We start from the raw sequence: 15506 nt of genomic DNA, 5'->3' as shown, positions 1-15506 counted from the left end.
TCATTTATGGGCTTATGATGGCTGAGCTGCTTTTGTATCTGTACCTTTTGGCTTTGAACGGCCCACCCTCAGTGAGCATTTTAATAAGGAAGAAACTGTTTTAGTCAATGGGTCAAGAGAACCATTTCCATCGTGACAGCTTTTTGAATTTTTCCTTCACATTTTTATTCTAAATGGTGTTCACAGTTGTATAATAACATATGTTGCATGTTATAGGTCCCCATGTTGACTACAGCTTGCTAGTTATTCACATCTAGTGACCCCACCACCTTTTGCTCTTTGCATTTTCAAAAAGTTTTTCTTTCTCCTTAAGGTTTTTATATAGTTTTTGTCCCAGGGTTTTATTCCCATCTTAGTCTATATAATCCTGCTTCTAATTTGTCATCAGCATTTCTACTCTGGCTTGTTTTGAGTTTCTGCAAATGGTTCAACTATTACCAGTCATCTTTAAACCTTTTAACCTTTAAGAAATGCTTACAAGTGCATAAAATTATTTGACTCCATAAATGAATGCTCAAAAATGCATGCACTTTTTATAACCATCTTTATGCATCATGTTAAAATAGGTAAGATGTGTTTACATTGTAGAAATCGAAGGTTTAATTCTCAGTAGACTAAATGCATACATACTCAGAAGAATATACAATTTTATGAACATGCGCTACCTATCAGTAATCTGTAATATTTAAGAATTAACAAAAAAGATGTGAAAGAGACTGGCTAGATAATCACTTAGGCTGGTAGTTCTTTAACTCTAATGTACATTGGAATCGCCTGAAGGGCTTGTTGGAACACTGATTGCTGAGCCACTGATCTGGTAGGTCTTCATTGGAGCCTATGAATTTTATTTCTAACAAGATCCAGTAGATTCCAATGCTATTGATGTGGGACGACACACTGAAAACTACTGCCGTCCTATTTCTCATCCTGAGCACTCAGAAAGACTGCATTTCCCAGCCTTTACCACTTCTCAACCTGACCATAAAATTCCCTGCATGGTCCTTCACTCTCTGTTGCCCCTTTCCTGGGCACCTCTGAAGGCCATGTATTGAAGATGGCAACTTGTCAAGATGGAAGGTGTCTAAAGATGTCTTAAGTGGATTTCACAGAAACAAAAAATAGAACAGAGAATAGGAGAAACTAGGAATGGTAAAAGAAGGGAGGAATAGGGAGAGATTTGTTAAAGGATACAAAATTACGGCTAGATAGGATGAATAAGTTCTAGTGTTCTATAGCACTGTGGGATGACTGTAGTTAACAATAGTATATAGTTTCAAATAGCTACAAGGAGGATATTGAATGTTCCTAACACAAAGAAATTATGAATGATTGAGGTGATGGATATGCTAATTACCCAGATCTGATCACTATATATGTATTGCATCATCACTGTGTACCCCATAAATATGTACAGTTATTATATGTCAATTAAAAAAAAGTAAAGAAAAAAAAGGAATAAGCCTTTGTACAACAAGGAACTGAGGTTTAGGGGCAGCATTGACAGACTTATCCCAATACCCATGATTTTCATGTCATCATGAGATGAACCATGCCCAGCTTTGAGGAAACTTTTATGATGTAAATTTGAGACGAGAATGAATCAATCTACCATTCACTACCCTACAACAACAACAACAAAAAACTAAGTTGGTTTAGGTGGACTCAGCCTACAGCCATATGTCTGTAGGCCATGAAGAGATTTTTGCCAATTCTTGCTAAGATCTCCTAAATCCATCTTAGTATATTTTTGGGTCATCTTTCATCTGAACTTTTCCAACTGCCTGCTCCTTAGATTCCTATATTATTTTCTCAAACTGGTTCTACTCACATCTTTTCTCCATGTTGGATAAGACCAAGGTACTTTTCCTCTCACTCAAAACCCATTCATTACTGGACAGCTCTGCCTTGCTTCCCTCTATTCCCCCCTTACCTTGTTCTGCCAATAAGATCATCCCAGAGTTTCTGACCCTATCTTGATTGGGACAGAATTCTCCCTTAGGCATCTTCAAAGTAAAACCACTGGACGTGTAGAGACCCACGTCTTTCATCACAGTCATATGTTGTTGAGAGCAGAGAGCCTGCCAGATAATCCCTGTTCCTTAACCCTATAGCGAGTACTACTTTTGCTGAATCTCTTACCTGCCTGCTTTCTCTGAACCCTGCCTAAATGTTCATGCTCCTCTTCGCTGCCTCCACCAACCTTACTAAATGTGACCACTAGCCTACTTGGGGACTCTGAGCTCCCAGGCTCTGGTACCTTATTTATATATCAGTTCCCTCTAGACCTTCCCATGTATCATACCCTATGATTAAAGGAGTCGCTAGTCAAACTTCCTTCTGTTATGCAAATGCATTATCATCACCCCTTTTGATGTCTCCCACACACAGAAGTGGACAAAAGGCAATGACTTTTCCCAGATATAAGAACATGTACCTCCTTTAACCCCTTTACTGCTCCACACTACCTTATATGAAACCAAAGCCCAAAGATTATATAAAAATAGACAAAACAGTGCTTATTATTCTGTTTATAAGCAAACATGTAAAAGATAATTTCAGTGTTAAAAAGAATACACCAACAAAATGCTTCAAAATACCAACTACTGTTCAAATATCATCTCAATATTCTATTACATATCAATTTATAGTTATTTATTGCTATGTCTTTTAAATATATTAATATTTACCTGCTTACTCTATTGTACATTTATGCTTCATTTATTGAAACAATTCAAGCAAGTGTTGCTTGCAATTTTTGTTACTATAAATAACAATGGGATGAACATCTCTATGCCTAAATCTTTGTGCATGTACCTCATATTTTTAGGTAGATTCTTAGCAGGTGAATCCCTTGGTAAAAGTGTGTAAACAATTCAAAATTGTATAAACAACAAACTGTATTTAAAAAGTGTAAATGCTGCAAGAAGTAGCTAAAATAATTAGTAATGGTTATGTCTGGGTGGCAGTTCACTAGGATAGGCAGAAATCGGGGATCAGAATCAACTGGGATTATCTAGCCAGTCTCTTTCACATCTTTTTAAAAAAAATTCTTAAATATTACAGATTACTGATAGGTAGTGCATGTTCATAACATTGTATATGCCTCTGAGCATGTATGCACTTATTCTACTGGAAATTCAACCTACAATTTATATAACATGCAAGGGTAAACACATCTTACCCATTTTGAAATAAACACAATGCATAAAGTTGTTTATAAGAAGTGCATTTTTGAGCATTCATTTATGGAATCAATTTTATGTACTTGTATTTCTTAAAGGTTAAAAGGTTTAAAGATGTCTAATAACAAATGAACGATTTGCCCATTTCCTATGAGCCGTGCATTCAGCAAGGAACTACATATGTATGTTTGACATTCACAATAAATACCAGGTAGGTGTGACCACACCCCACCTGTCGGGTAAGAAGGCTGAGGGCCAATGGGAGCATCGCAAAGCAGGGAGCTGAAAGAACCTTCTCTCCAGCTTCATCTCACTGCTTTCCACTGCATTTAGGCTTTCCCACATTCATTTTTTCTGCTTCTACAATGCATAATGCTGTTTTCTATTATTAGCACTGCATTTGACTTGTTCTGTTTCTGTATTATGATAAAAATAAACATTACATTATTTAAAAAATTATTTTTTTCAAAAATTATTTGTCAAAATTATGTGATTGTTTTCCCAAGGCATAATTACATATGTAAAAAAAAGTATGTGAACATTTTAGAGAATCCATATTCTATAACCATGTGAACAAACTGCCCTTCTGAAAATTTATAATAATTTACAAATCTCTTCCCTCAGGAGTGTGTAACACTGCCGTTCCTGTGACAGCCTCTACCAAAAAAATTTTTTTAATCTCTTCTAATTGAGAATACAATTTTAATTGGCATTCATTTTACTAATAATGTCGAATTGTTTTTACATCTTATTTGCTGGCATATATATATGCTTTTTAAATGGACATACCAAAGTATGTTTATCCAATGTATGCTGCTCCTGTGAAATTAGTCCCTTCGGAAGGTGGTGTCTCTATTCTAGTGACGTGACCTTCCCTTAAACATTTGGGTAACTCTTCTTTTTGAGTGACCATCAGGGCTTTAGTGACATTCTTTTGGATAGTCTTAGGATCAGTTATATCATCAAGTTGGGGACAAAAATGCAGAGCAACTGCATAGTGATAACCTCAGTTTTCTTCTGTGGCACATAAACCAGTCATGAAATCAACTGTCAAAAAGATGTTCTAGTTACATGGTGAGCCATGGTGAACATGGATGAAATAAATGCCTGGCTCCTGAAAAGCACCAGTCATTTGAATACATCCATATGGAGGGCTTATCTCTACACTTACCTCATCATTTCATAGACAGGCCTCATAGTTAATATATCTATATTAATTAATAGTTGTCTATCAGTCTGCACATCAATATGCCATGCAACCTTAAATATGCAGCCATATACATCAGACACTTAGAAATCGGATCAAGATTGTCAACTAGCATGTTTTAGACCAGAATGTCATTCATTCTAAGGACTTGTATCTGTTTTGTACACTGTTGTATCCTAGGCACTTAGAACAGTGCCTAGCACAGAGTAGGTGGTCAACAGATGTTTGTTGAATACATGATGAACAAATGAATGAATGAGTGAGTGAATGAACCAACACTTAATAATTAGGCATCAAGACCAGAGCTTAGTTTGCCTTATTTTGTAGGATAACACAAGATGGCAAATGCATTTTGATAATAGGTGATGAATACACAATAAAGATAAATTGGCATGGTAGAAAGGCATGTTTCTATTCCAATCTCGGCTGTGTCAGCAAATAGCTGCTATGTCATTCTTTCCACCAATGTTGACTGGGTACCTACTATGTGCCTTGCACTTCACCAAGTGCTGGAGATATGTGAAGAGTGTAACACATGCAGGCTGTGCCTTCGGGGAATTTACAATCCAGTGGGAGAAAAAGATATTAATCAAATATTCCTGGAAATAAATAGGGAATTACAGATTTTCTTAAGTGCTAAGCACATAAGAGAAGAGGCCAACCTGGCATGAATGATCAAGAAAGGCTTCCTTTTCTGAGGAGGGGATATTTGAGCTGCAGCTAGAGGCAGAGGGAACATTTTGAACACAAGTTCAAGCAAAAACTGAAAGCATTGTGCATTGAAGAAATCAAGAACAAACAAGTGTAGGGCATCACAGAGAGGGTTTGGAGAGCAGTGAGATAGCTGGAGAGAAGGTTCTTGTAGCTTTTTGTTTTGTGATGGTCCCACTGGCCTTCAGTCTTCTTACCAGTGATGTGGGCATGGTTATGCTTTTCTGGTAGGTTTATTGTGAATGTCAAACCTACATATGTAGTTCCTTGCTAAATGCATATCCACAGGAAATGCTCAGTTACGGTCATTTTACTGTTTTTTCTATTACCTATATTTTGACTTCATAAAAGCAAGATCTGGATCCTATATTTTACTGAATTGCCTTACTTCCCATCCCAGTGTGAACTGCTTAGAAAATGCTCAATTGACCAGTTGCAGTGGGTCAGCCTGTAATCCCAGCGCTTTGGGAGGCCAAGATGAGATGCACACTTGAGGCCAGGAGTTCAAAATCAGCCTGGTCTATATTGTGAAACTTCATCTCTACAAAAGAAAAAATTAACATGATTGGGTAACACACCTGTAGTCCCAGCTACTGGGAAGGTTGAGATGGGAGGATTGCTTGAGCCCAGGAGGTTGGGACTGCAGTAAGCCACGATTGCACCACTGCACTCCAGGCTGGGTGGCAGAGCAAGACCCTGTCTCAAAAAAAAAAAAAAAAAAAAATCAGTGACAGCTGGGGTTATCATTGCACTTATTAAGCAGTCTTCTGTGTGCTAGGATATAACTTATTTTTCTCACCTAGGCTTTTATTTAATAAAAATTGCTGTGGATTTACAAAACTAAATTGAGTTTCCAGCATCTGATACTTTCATATGTAGAATTACACATCATTATTATCCACTGATGTTTCAGATTTGAATGTGCAGTTTGGACATGATCTTATCTTCATATTGGCAGAATATTGGTTAGTTCAGAGGTTCAAAGCATCTCTAAGCTTTAGAATGATAAAAAATGTTATCTATACATATTGGATTGCAATAAATATTTGCATCACAGCATTTTTTGATAGCAATGAGAAAAGTATATACAGAGATTAAATAAATGCATAAAAATAGCCTTTCACCAATAATTTGCAGCTCAAACAACAAAGCAATAATTTAGAGTTCTGACCTTGTAATTCAGCTGATTAGAAGAAATCAGTTCTTTTTAGTTCATGTTGTGATGGAGAATTCTAAGTGAATTGTATGCCAAAAATTGACAAGTTCCATTCCCTTTGTATCTAGATGACTTGTATGTCCTGTTTTCCCAATTTTCACGTAAAAAAAAAAGAAGTTTGTTTTCTTCTTTCTAACTGCCAGCACTGTGAACTAAAGCGGGATCCTCCCCATTTCCTTCTCCATAATTATATAATACAGTTCCTGCTTTCTAAACTTTGTTGACAATTCTGTTGACAGTACACACAGAGTAAAATACATCCCAGTCTTCCTTAACTAGATGAGCCTAATCACTTGTAAAAATTCCCGTTAATCAGATTAATGTACCCAGATCCAAGCAGATGCTCAGAGAGCACATAACAGGAGAAAGGATGTACGAAGTATCACTTTTCGTTGCATGACCCTACATGATTCTTTTTTATTTTCTGATTATTGACAGTAGATGTGAGATAATATTTATACTCTGCATATTGCAAGAATTTTAAAAAATATTTTACTTTTTATGTTTTCATCCTTCTGCTTTTACTAAGAAGTTAAGTTCCTGTTTATCCCACCACTCAGTCCCTCTTACAAATACAGTTTTGTGTGCTGGCCTATTCATAAATTATTAATGTCACACTGAAAAATACCTTTTGGAAATGGACCCCCTGACATAAAACTATTGGTGATTGAGGAGCTTCAGGGCACGTGAAGCACTCCCAACCCGACTGGTGAAGAAAGCTGCTGAAGCTCTTCTTCCTCTGGTGAAACAATTAACTTTATGTTCCATTTGCTGATGACGCCGCATGCCTAAATTGATCATGTTTTTTAAACCCATGCCAGTCTTTTCAGCCTGCTCAGCTCAGGGGAAAGTCAGGATGTACAGTCAGGCTCCAGTGCTTTTGGGTAGAAGTGAAAAGATTTGCACTCATTGAGCAAGAAAATGGCATTCCTGGCTGTCAGTGTGGAAGGAAGGGCTTTTCTCTCCAGTGCTGCATGGCAGACTCTCTGCTCTTGTCCCTGAATGTCAGCTCATGCCTCATTGCTAAGTAAGTGTTTTCCCCACCTAACCTGACAGGTAGGTGTCTGACATGACAGCAGGCTGCCATCACACTGGGGAGCAAGGATACCCCAAACTTGGAGCCAGTTCTGCTAAGCTAAGTCAGTTTTGCTAAATGTTACTTTGATTTCAGTGTATTATTAGCTTTGAGATATGCCTTGAGTGCCTTAGAGATCCAGTGTGAGAATGGTTCGCTAGAGCTGGCTTCTGTCTGATGACTGGTAAGGGGTACCACATTTTTCCCACTGGCATTCCAACCCCTTCATCTCTTCCTGCCACATCTTATCCATCAATGGGAATCAGGTTTTGCCAACAGACTGGTTATGAAAGGAGTTGGGATTCCTTGAAGAAGTGAGCTTTGAGCCCCGAGAGTAGGGGATATCACTTTGAGAACTATGACCTGCCTGTACATTGGGGGTATTGGCATTTTGCATCTTCAGCTGGCTTCTAGCAACATACATCTGGTTCCAATTTTCACCACAGTGTTAAAATTTTTAAAAAATAAGTAAATAAAGGCAAACTGGCTATGGTAATCCTAAAGAAGATATAATTTCCTAAGAACATAAATTGCTGAGGAAAACCATGTATTTTTAAACCAAATATAAATTGACTTCTGTATGTTTCTGTTTTCAATGTTATATATTGTCTTTTCATTAGCAAATATTGGTTAAATGCCTAGCCTGTGTCACCACTAATGTGGGCAAAAAAAGACATTTTTCTGGCCCTCAAGAAGGTAACCATCAAAGTAACTTTCCCTTCAGTCATCATGAATCATCAGAGTTGGTTGTATTAAAAATCCACAGCTGAACACTTTACACTCACTATTTTATCTTGTCTAAATCTCCCTGTTGTAAATTTCAGCATCTCTTGTATAAACTTAGGGGACTAGGTCTGGGTAATCCTTAATGTATCTGGAAAACATTCAGCTGGTTTCTGCCATTAGCACTTATGTGGTCTTAGAGATGTTGCTTAATGTTTCTGAGCTTCAAACACAGCATAAGAAAAAAAAAATGCCCAATTTGCAAGGTTTGTTATTGATTTTTTTTGTTTGTTTGTTTTTTTATTATTATACTTTAAGTTTTAGGGTACATGTGCACATTGTGCAGGTTAGTTACATATGTATACATGTGCCATGCTGGTGCGCTGCACCCACTAACTCGTCATCTGGCATTAGGTATATCTCCCAGTGCTATCCCTCCCCCCTCCCCCCACCCCACCACAGTCCCCAGAGTGTGATATTCCCCTTCCTGTGTCCATGTGATCTCATTGTTCAGTTCCCACCTATGAGTGAGAATATGTGGTGTTTGGTTTTTTGTTCTTGCGATAGTTTACTGAGAATGATGATTTCCAATTTCATCCATGTCCCTACCAAGGACATGAACTCATCATTTTTTATGGCTGCATAGTATTCCGTGGTGTATATGTGCCACATTTTCTTAATCCAGTCTATCATTGTTGGACATTTGGGTTGGTTCCAAGTCTTTGCTATTGTGAATAATGCTGCAATAAACATACGTGTGCATGTGTCTTTATAGCAGCATGATTTATAGTCATTTGGGTATATACCCAGTAATGGGATGGTTGGGTCAAATGGTATTTCTAGTCCTCAGATAATGGAATGAAGACTAAATAAAGTCTAGACTAGCCAAGAAGTAGAACTAAATAGAGGTAGCTATTATTATATTGTTGTTTTTTCTATGAATCTGTGAACACTGCCTTTGATCCAAGGTCTCCGGAATATGTGTGTGTGTGTGTGTGTGTGTGTGTCTGTGTGTTTGCAGTTTTGGACATTACTTTATTATTATTATTATATTGTTTATTTTTTCATAGGTTATTGGGGTACAGGTGGTGTTTGGTTATAAGAGTGAGTTCTTTAGTGGTGATTTGTGAGATTTTGGTGCACCCATCACCCAAGCAGTTTACACAGCACCGTATTTGCAGTCTTTTATCCCTCGCCCCCTACCCCCTCCTGCCCTTTCCTGCAAGTTCCCAAAGTCCATTGTATCACAGAATGCATTTTAGTAGGCTTACCAAGATCCCCTGATTCTAGCATGCAGCCATTTATAATGGGCAATAGAATTCAATTTCTAAAGCATCGCCTTGTAGCACTTTTCCTCTTTTATATACTCACAAGCAGAAGCACAGATAAGAAAAGAAACATACTATTTGCTTTCACCAGGTGAAACAGGAGCATGCTTAGGATCCATTGCTGAGTGCCTAACAGGGTGTTGGCAATGAGTCAGCTGCTTCTTGTTGCCCTGATACCTCCTTCCAAAGTCACTCTATGGAAGTCACTCTATGGAAGTAACTTTGGGAGGAGGTATCAGGGCAACAGGAAGCAGCTTGTGGCTTCAACCGAGAAAACACATGACAGTTTACATGGGTCTTTCATGTTCCTCTAGCTTTTCTCTTCTGTGTTAGAAAAATGACAGAGATTTTTCTGCGAACTAAATAATAATAGATGATAATAGGGAAGCTTCAGGAAGTTAGTAAATATTTCCCTTCAGAGCTGAGGACTGGCAGAAACCAGGCCCCTGAAACATCAGCCAGACCCTGGAAACTCGCCTGATTTGGGCTCAGTAAAGATATGAAAGAATAATTAGACCATAAGGGGAATTCTGTGTTCCATTCCCCAAGGACAATGATTACTGACTTTCCATGTCATTCTTTTTTCCACTTCCTGTTTTTTCCCCCTTTGAGAACATTGTTTACTAAATGATGGAAAAGAATAGAATGGGAGCACCCAGGCAGCCTGGGCCATAGGACTGACCTGAGGAATGCCTCTGCTTTTTCATTTGCATCCACCAGTTCTCCCTCTCCTGCAGGCCTGGATGGGGACTCTCTTTCCCTTTATCTCAACAGGCGAATGAAAGAAGTTGAGGGTTTTTCCTGTGTGTTATTAATCTAAAGAAAAAAGAAAAGGTGTATGTATAAAGATAACATGAAGTTTATTTGTTAGTGTCCCTAAAAATAAACACAGTGAAACACTGTCAAAATAGGAAAAGACTTTTAACATTTTCATTGTACTAGGAACTGGGCACAATTAAATTGAAATATAAATTTGTAAGCCAACATTTCAGTTAAGCTGCTTATGAGAATAATTAGGCCAGTGAAGCGAGGAGCAGGCCAGCCAAGGAAATGGTGAGTTTGGCTAGAATGCTCTCTCTGCAAGTATATGTTCTCTCTGTAAGAGTTGTAAAGGCATGCATTTAGTAAATAAAACAGTTCTACACTGAAATTCAAAAGACACTGGAAAAAGACTAATTATTTTTCATATTTATATATTTGCAGTCATAGAAATCCTGAACTGGAAGGGATTTTAGTAAAACCCTTTCCTAACTGGTCACCACCAAGTTCCCACTCAGAACTTAGTTTCCCTATGAGTTTTACTTTTTGCAAGATCCCCTTTACAATTTGAACTTAAGTAGTAATTAACTTGATTTATCACTAAGTAGAAACATGATCCCTGAATGGGAGCAATGGATTAGCATGAAATAACTAGTGTTAACTCTTTCAGTTAATGTAATTTAAGCAAAAAGCAAATAAATGTGATGTTTTGACTAATTTGTGAATCATATTATGGGTTAATATGATTTCTTGGCTTTTTCTAAGAAGGAAAAATAGTGCGAGGAGACCCACTGCTACCTTTGAGGGCAACCAGTGGGTAGCCATTGTTTATTCCAGCCCACTTACTGTATGGTGGGTTCCATGGTTCAAGACCAACACACTACAGTTTAAGGCACAGTCAAGGCTAGAGTATAGATCTCTCAATGTCTAGTCTAGCACCCTTTTTGTTTAACTACACTGCTACTTAATAAACTTGTGAGGCTGGAGAGTTTTTAATGCCATTAATTGCAAGATTTTGGAAGTGTGACTGCATTTGAAAGACCATAGAAATAGCACTGTGGTAACCCATTTTCCTCTCTGGATTTTTCATTACATTTTCTTAATATCAAATAGGGCATTTTTTATTTTTGGTCTTATGTGCAGTGCTGTTATATAAGGTTATAATTTTTACTTAGCTGATCCTTTGCAAGCTTACAAGTCATTGAATCTTCCTTATTTGAGTCTTTTAGTGTGAAAAGTGCACACCCAAACCCTTCTGTTTGATCATAGAAACAGACAAGACCTAAAAAGGCTCAGAAGATATCTCTCTTGAATGAATAATTTTGTAAATTTGCTTCTTTCTGATTTGGAAATGTAGTTAGATCTTTCTGATCTAGTTACATTTGGAACCCAAGTCTTTACTCTCTGTATCTCAAAAGAAGCTGGCAGGTAACTCAAATGCACAGTTGGGGACTTAATAAAGCATATTTTTAAATTAATTAAGAGCACACTAACTTTAGAACTATGTCCTTTCAGAACTTTAGGGAGAATGCAGTTGGCATCAAAAAAATGATAACAAAAAATACAGTTACCAAGAATTAGAACAGGTGGCAACAACTTAAGTAGAGTGTCAGCAGCCCTGATTCTGGTTAGCACTGCTGTAAGCTAGAAGCCAGCACAAATGATTGGTCCATCACACATGGCAACATCATATTTTTAAACCACCTGAGCATGCAGTGAATGTGAAGAATGTGTTACCTTTGTTTTTAAAAGCCCTTTGGAGAATGTGGGTTTGCTGAATGCCACCTAGACCCTTCATATCATTCAACTTGCATTTGGAAAATAGAACATTTAACTGCCTGCCATTTTGATCTGCTGCTGCCAAGGAACCTATATGCTGAGGCTGCTTCAGGGGGACATTTGTGTGATCTAGCAGGTGTCTCTCTTTGAACCTATTAATTAGGAAAAGAGCAGAGGCAGATGTGATATATTAGTTGGCCCTAAGATGGATTGCTCTGAAAAATCTCATATTGGCAAGGGTGATTCAAGTTGCCAGGAATCCAAAGTTTGCTGTGTGACATCCCCAGAAGTCTGATGGGGTTTGACTGGTTTACTCCACCAAATGAAACTGCTGAGATGACTGTCTTGAGGTGATTAATAAAGTGCATAAATCTTAACTATGGGAAGAAAAGAAGATGAATTGATGGATGCACATATTGGAAATGTAATGAAACAAAATTGAAGCTACCAGGATTTGCTAATATATTACAGAAAAACAATACTGTGTTTATTGTTCTTCACTGGTCTTATTTTGTTGGCCTCAATTCCAAAATGACCAGGAAGACATGTTAGGTTTTATTTTTCATTTTTCTAGCATGGGAGACCTGAACTGGCAACAAAGTGGGAAAGTAATAATGACATCATATATATGTGCCCCTGGTATTTATTATTTTTTATTTCTCTCATGTTAATGAGGCTAAAAAATTTTTAAAAGATTGGTTCAACTTCCATCAAAGCTGCTATTGAATGCTGTTAGTAATCGTATATGAAGTTTCAGTAGTTTTTGAAGTAATTAGAACCTTGGAGCAAATAAATACTAAATGGACTCTCATCTTCAAAGTTATTTTTTCTAACTAAATAGCTCTGTTCTTGTATAATTATATACTAGTCATGAAATTAAAAATCATTTTAAATGACTAGATGCTTTTTTTAGAAGTGTTTGTTTCTTGCTAGTTATTGTGGACTAATTGTAGTTTATGAGGGTCTTCAAAACATCTGAAATTGCTGCCTTAGATTTCTAGTCTCCAAAGGTTGCAAACTTTAATTCCAATAGAAAAATACAATGATGAGGAAGAGTGTGTAAGGCAATCAAAATTAGAATTTTTGTGATTTTGAAAAAATCTGACTTTTCAAAGATCATAACAGACAGTTATGCAGGGTGATGGCATAAAAAAAGCTTTATTACCACGCGAACCTGAATTTGGCCCCAGCTCCACTAGACACTGTGACCTTTGGCATGTTATTTCATTTCTCTGAGCCTCAGTCTTGGCACCTGTAAAATGGGGATAATAAATAAGTATATTGCAGTATTGTTTTGAGAATTAAAGATAATATCTACAAAATCTTTAGCATGGAGTCCATCATCATAGTTAATAGCTAGTATTATCGTCACTTCTTTTCACCACCATTGTAATTTTTATGATATAAAAATTTACTGCTCATAGGCCCACGCTTGGTCTTCAGGACAGTCAGTCCATGACACCTTGTACCAAGGTTCTTTTTTCCAATGGCAAGTTTGTATCAGAACACGGGATTTAAATTAAACAATCCAGAAAAGCAGAAGCTTTCCATGTCATTTTCCTATCCTTAGGGGCAGCCATCAGGTTAAGCATGGGTAGAAAGTATGACTGTTTAGGCCACATATTTATTAGGGGCTTTTCCATGAACCAGCAGGCTCTCAAGAGCCTATGCACTCATAAATTCATGATGGTCCACACTTTGCCAATATCTCCCTGGGGCAACAAGGAAAACAAATGAAGTGAACAACAATCACAGAAAACCAAACCATGAAATAACAAGGAAAACCCTCGAGATGAGCCTCCTAAATGTCCCTTTCCCCCTAGTCCTTTCTTTCTTTCCTCTTAATTACAAATTGGTATCATGAGTTATACAGGTGAGTAAAAACCGGGCACCACGTGCTTCTGTCAGGAGGCAGAGATGATGAATACCATGTTCAGAATTTCTCTCTAAGTCCCGGCACTATCCCAAATATTTTTATCAATAAAAGATTTTCCTTTACTCGCCCTAGCTCTTTGCTCGGACTTCTTATTTTTCATTTTGCTGTCGGTTTAAAGAATATTCTTCCTGGCCGGGCGCGGTGGCTCACGCCTGTAATTCCAGCCCTTTGGGAGGCCGAGGCGGGCGGATCACGAGGTCAGGAGATCAAGACCATCCTGGCTAACACGGTGAAACCCCGTCTCTACTAAAAATACAAAAAAATTAGCCGGGCGCAGTGGTGGGCGCCTGTAGTCCCAGCTACTCGGAAGGCTGAGGCAGGAGAATGGCCTGAACCCGGGAGGCGGAGCTTGCAGTGAGCCGAGATAGAGCCACTGTAGTCCGGCCTGGGCGAAAGAGCGAGACTCCGTCTCAAAAAAAAAAAAAAAAAAAATATTCTTCCTTACTCAGTTTCTTGTTTCTAGGTACTAAGTTTGTTGTTTCTTACATTCCAGGCACAAAATATATATATTATCTTAAAACAACTTAATTTTACAGCTGAGAAAAAATGTGTAGGGTCATAGGAATAGTACGTGCTAGAACAAGGCAGGAATGAGTGAGGTGCTTCAGTGCACCTTCAGGCACATGAGAGCAGGCTACTTTCCTAGATGTAGTCAACATGATGGGTACAGATTTGTGATTTCAGATGAAATTCCCATTACAGAAACCAAATTTTGATTCTAAATGTAGATGCTGTGGTGGGCGTTTAAACTGTTTCCTTAACCTGACTTCTCCAAACCTCCTTTACCATTCTCAATGGAATCTACCTTGTCCTACTAGCACATAGGTGTTGATGGAGAGACACGAATCCAGCTACCTCTCATGCTTGTTTTCTTCCTCCCCTGATCAATCCCCTCCCTATTCAAAGCTTCATGGTCCTACCACGCTGGCTTCCCAGCTAAAGGGAGCATGGAGAACCCTGCCAGTTTATGACACATCGCCACAGGGGTAACGAAGAAAATGTTCTCATCTCAATAGGCTAAGGGAGTGGTAGTGTTAGCCTTTATTAGCTTTATTAAGATGCTGGAAAGAAAAAGAGGTTGGAAGGATTTCAGAAGAAAGAAGGAAGAGAGATTGCTGAGAAACAGGAAACAAACCATGCTCAGAGATGAACAAGACCCAACAAAGAAACAAGCATTGCCATCCCTAACTGCATCTCAGAGAGAAGTGCCCAACACAGCTTGCTTTCTTTTTTTTTTAATTATATTTTAAGTTCTAGGGTACATGTGCACAACATGCAGGTTTGTTACATATGTATACATGTGCCATGTTGGTGTGCTGCCCCCATTAACTCGTCATTTACGTTAGGTATATCTCCTAATGCTATCCCTCCCCCCTCCCCTCACCCCACAACAGGCCCCGGTGTGTGATGTCCCCCTTCCTGTGTCCAAGTGTTCTCATTGTTCAATTCCCACCTATGAGTGAGAACATGCAGTGTTTGGCTTTTTGTCCTTGCAATAATTTGCTAAGAATGATGGTTTCCAGCTTCATCCATGTCCCTACAAAGGACATGAACTCATCATTTTTTATGGCTGCATAGTATTCCATGGTG

The 15506-nt window shown here is 38.2% G+C and overlaps 1 protein-coding gene and 1 long non-coding RNA gene across 13 annotated transcripts in view; one reads left to right on the top strand and one right to left on the bottom strand.

Annotated features, from left to right (window-relative positions):
* SAMD12 (sterile alpha motif domain containing 12) overlaps window positions 1-15506 on the top strand; it is a 490139-nt gene that overhangs the window by 320493 nt on the left and 154140 nt on the right. The gene's annotated exons all lie outside the window — the stretch shown is intronic.
* Window positions 1-15506, bottom strand: part of LOC105375724 (uncharacterized) — a 141651-nt gene that overhangs the window by 121563 nt on the left and 4582 nt on the right. For 2 of the 6 annotated variants that reach the window (XR_001746056.2, XR_001746063.3), the window contains 3 exons: window positions 13146-13232; window positions 10125-10258; window positions 5679-5796 (listed from right to left, as the gene is read on the bottom strand). This is a non-coding gene — a long non-coding RNA (uncharacterized LOC105375724). The remainder of the gene's footprint in view (window positions 1-5678; window positions 5797-10124; window positions 10259-13145; window positions 13233-15506) is intronic. The other 4 variants (XR_007061073.1, XR_007061072.1, XR_001746057.2 and 1 more) reach the window with 3 other exon arrangements.

The sequence above is a fragment of the Homo sapiens genome, chromosome 8 (assembly GCF_000001405.40).
Source record: "Homo sapiens chromosome 8, GRCh38.p14 Primary Assembly".
Classification (NCBI taxonomy): domain Eukaryota; kingdom Metazoa; phylum Chordata; class Mammalia; order Primates; family Hominidae; genus Homo; species Homo sapiens.
This window is presented reverse-complemented; position numbering and strand designations above follow the sequence as displayed.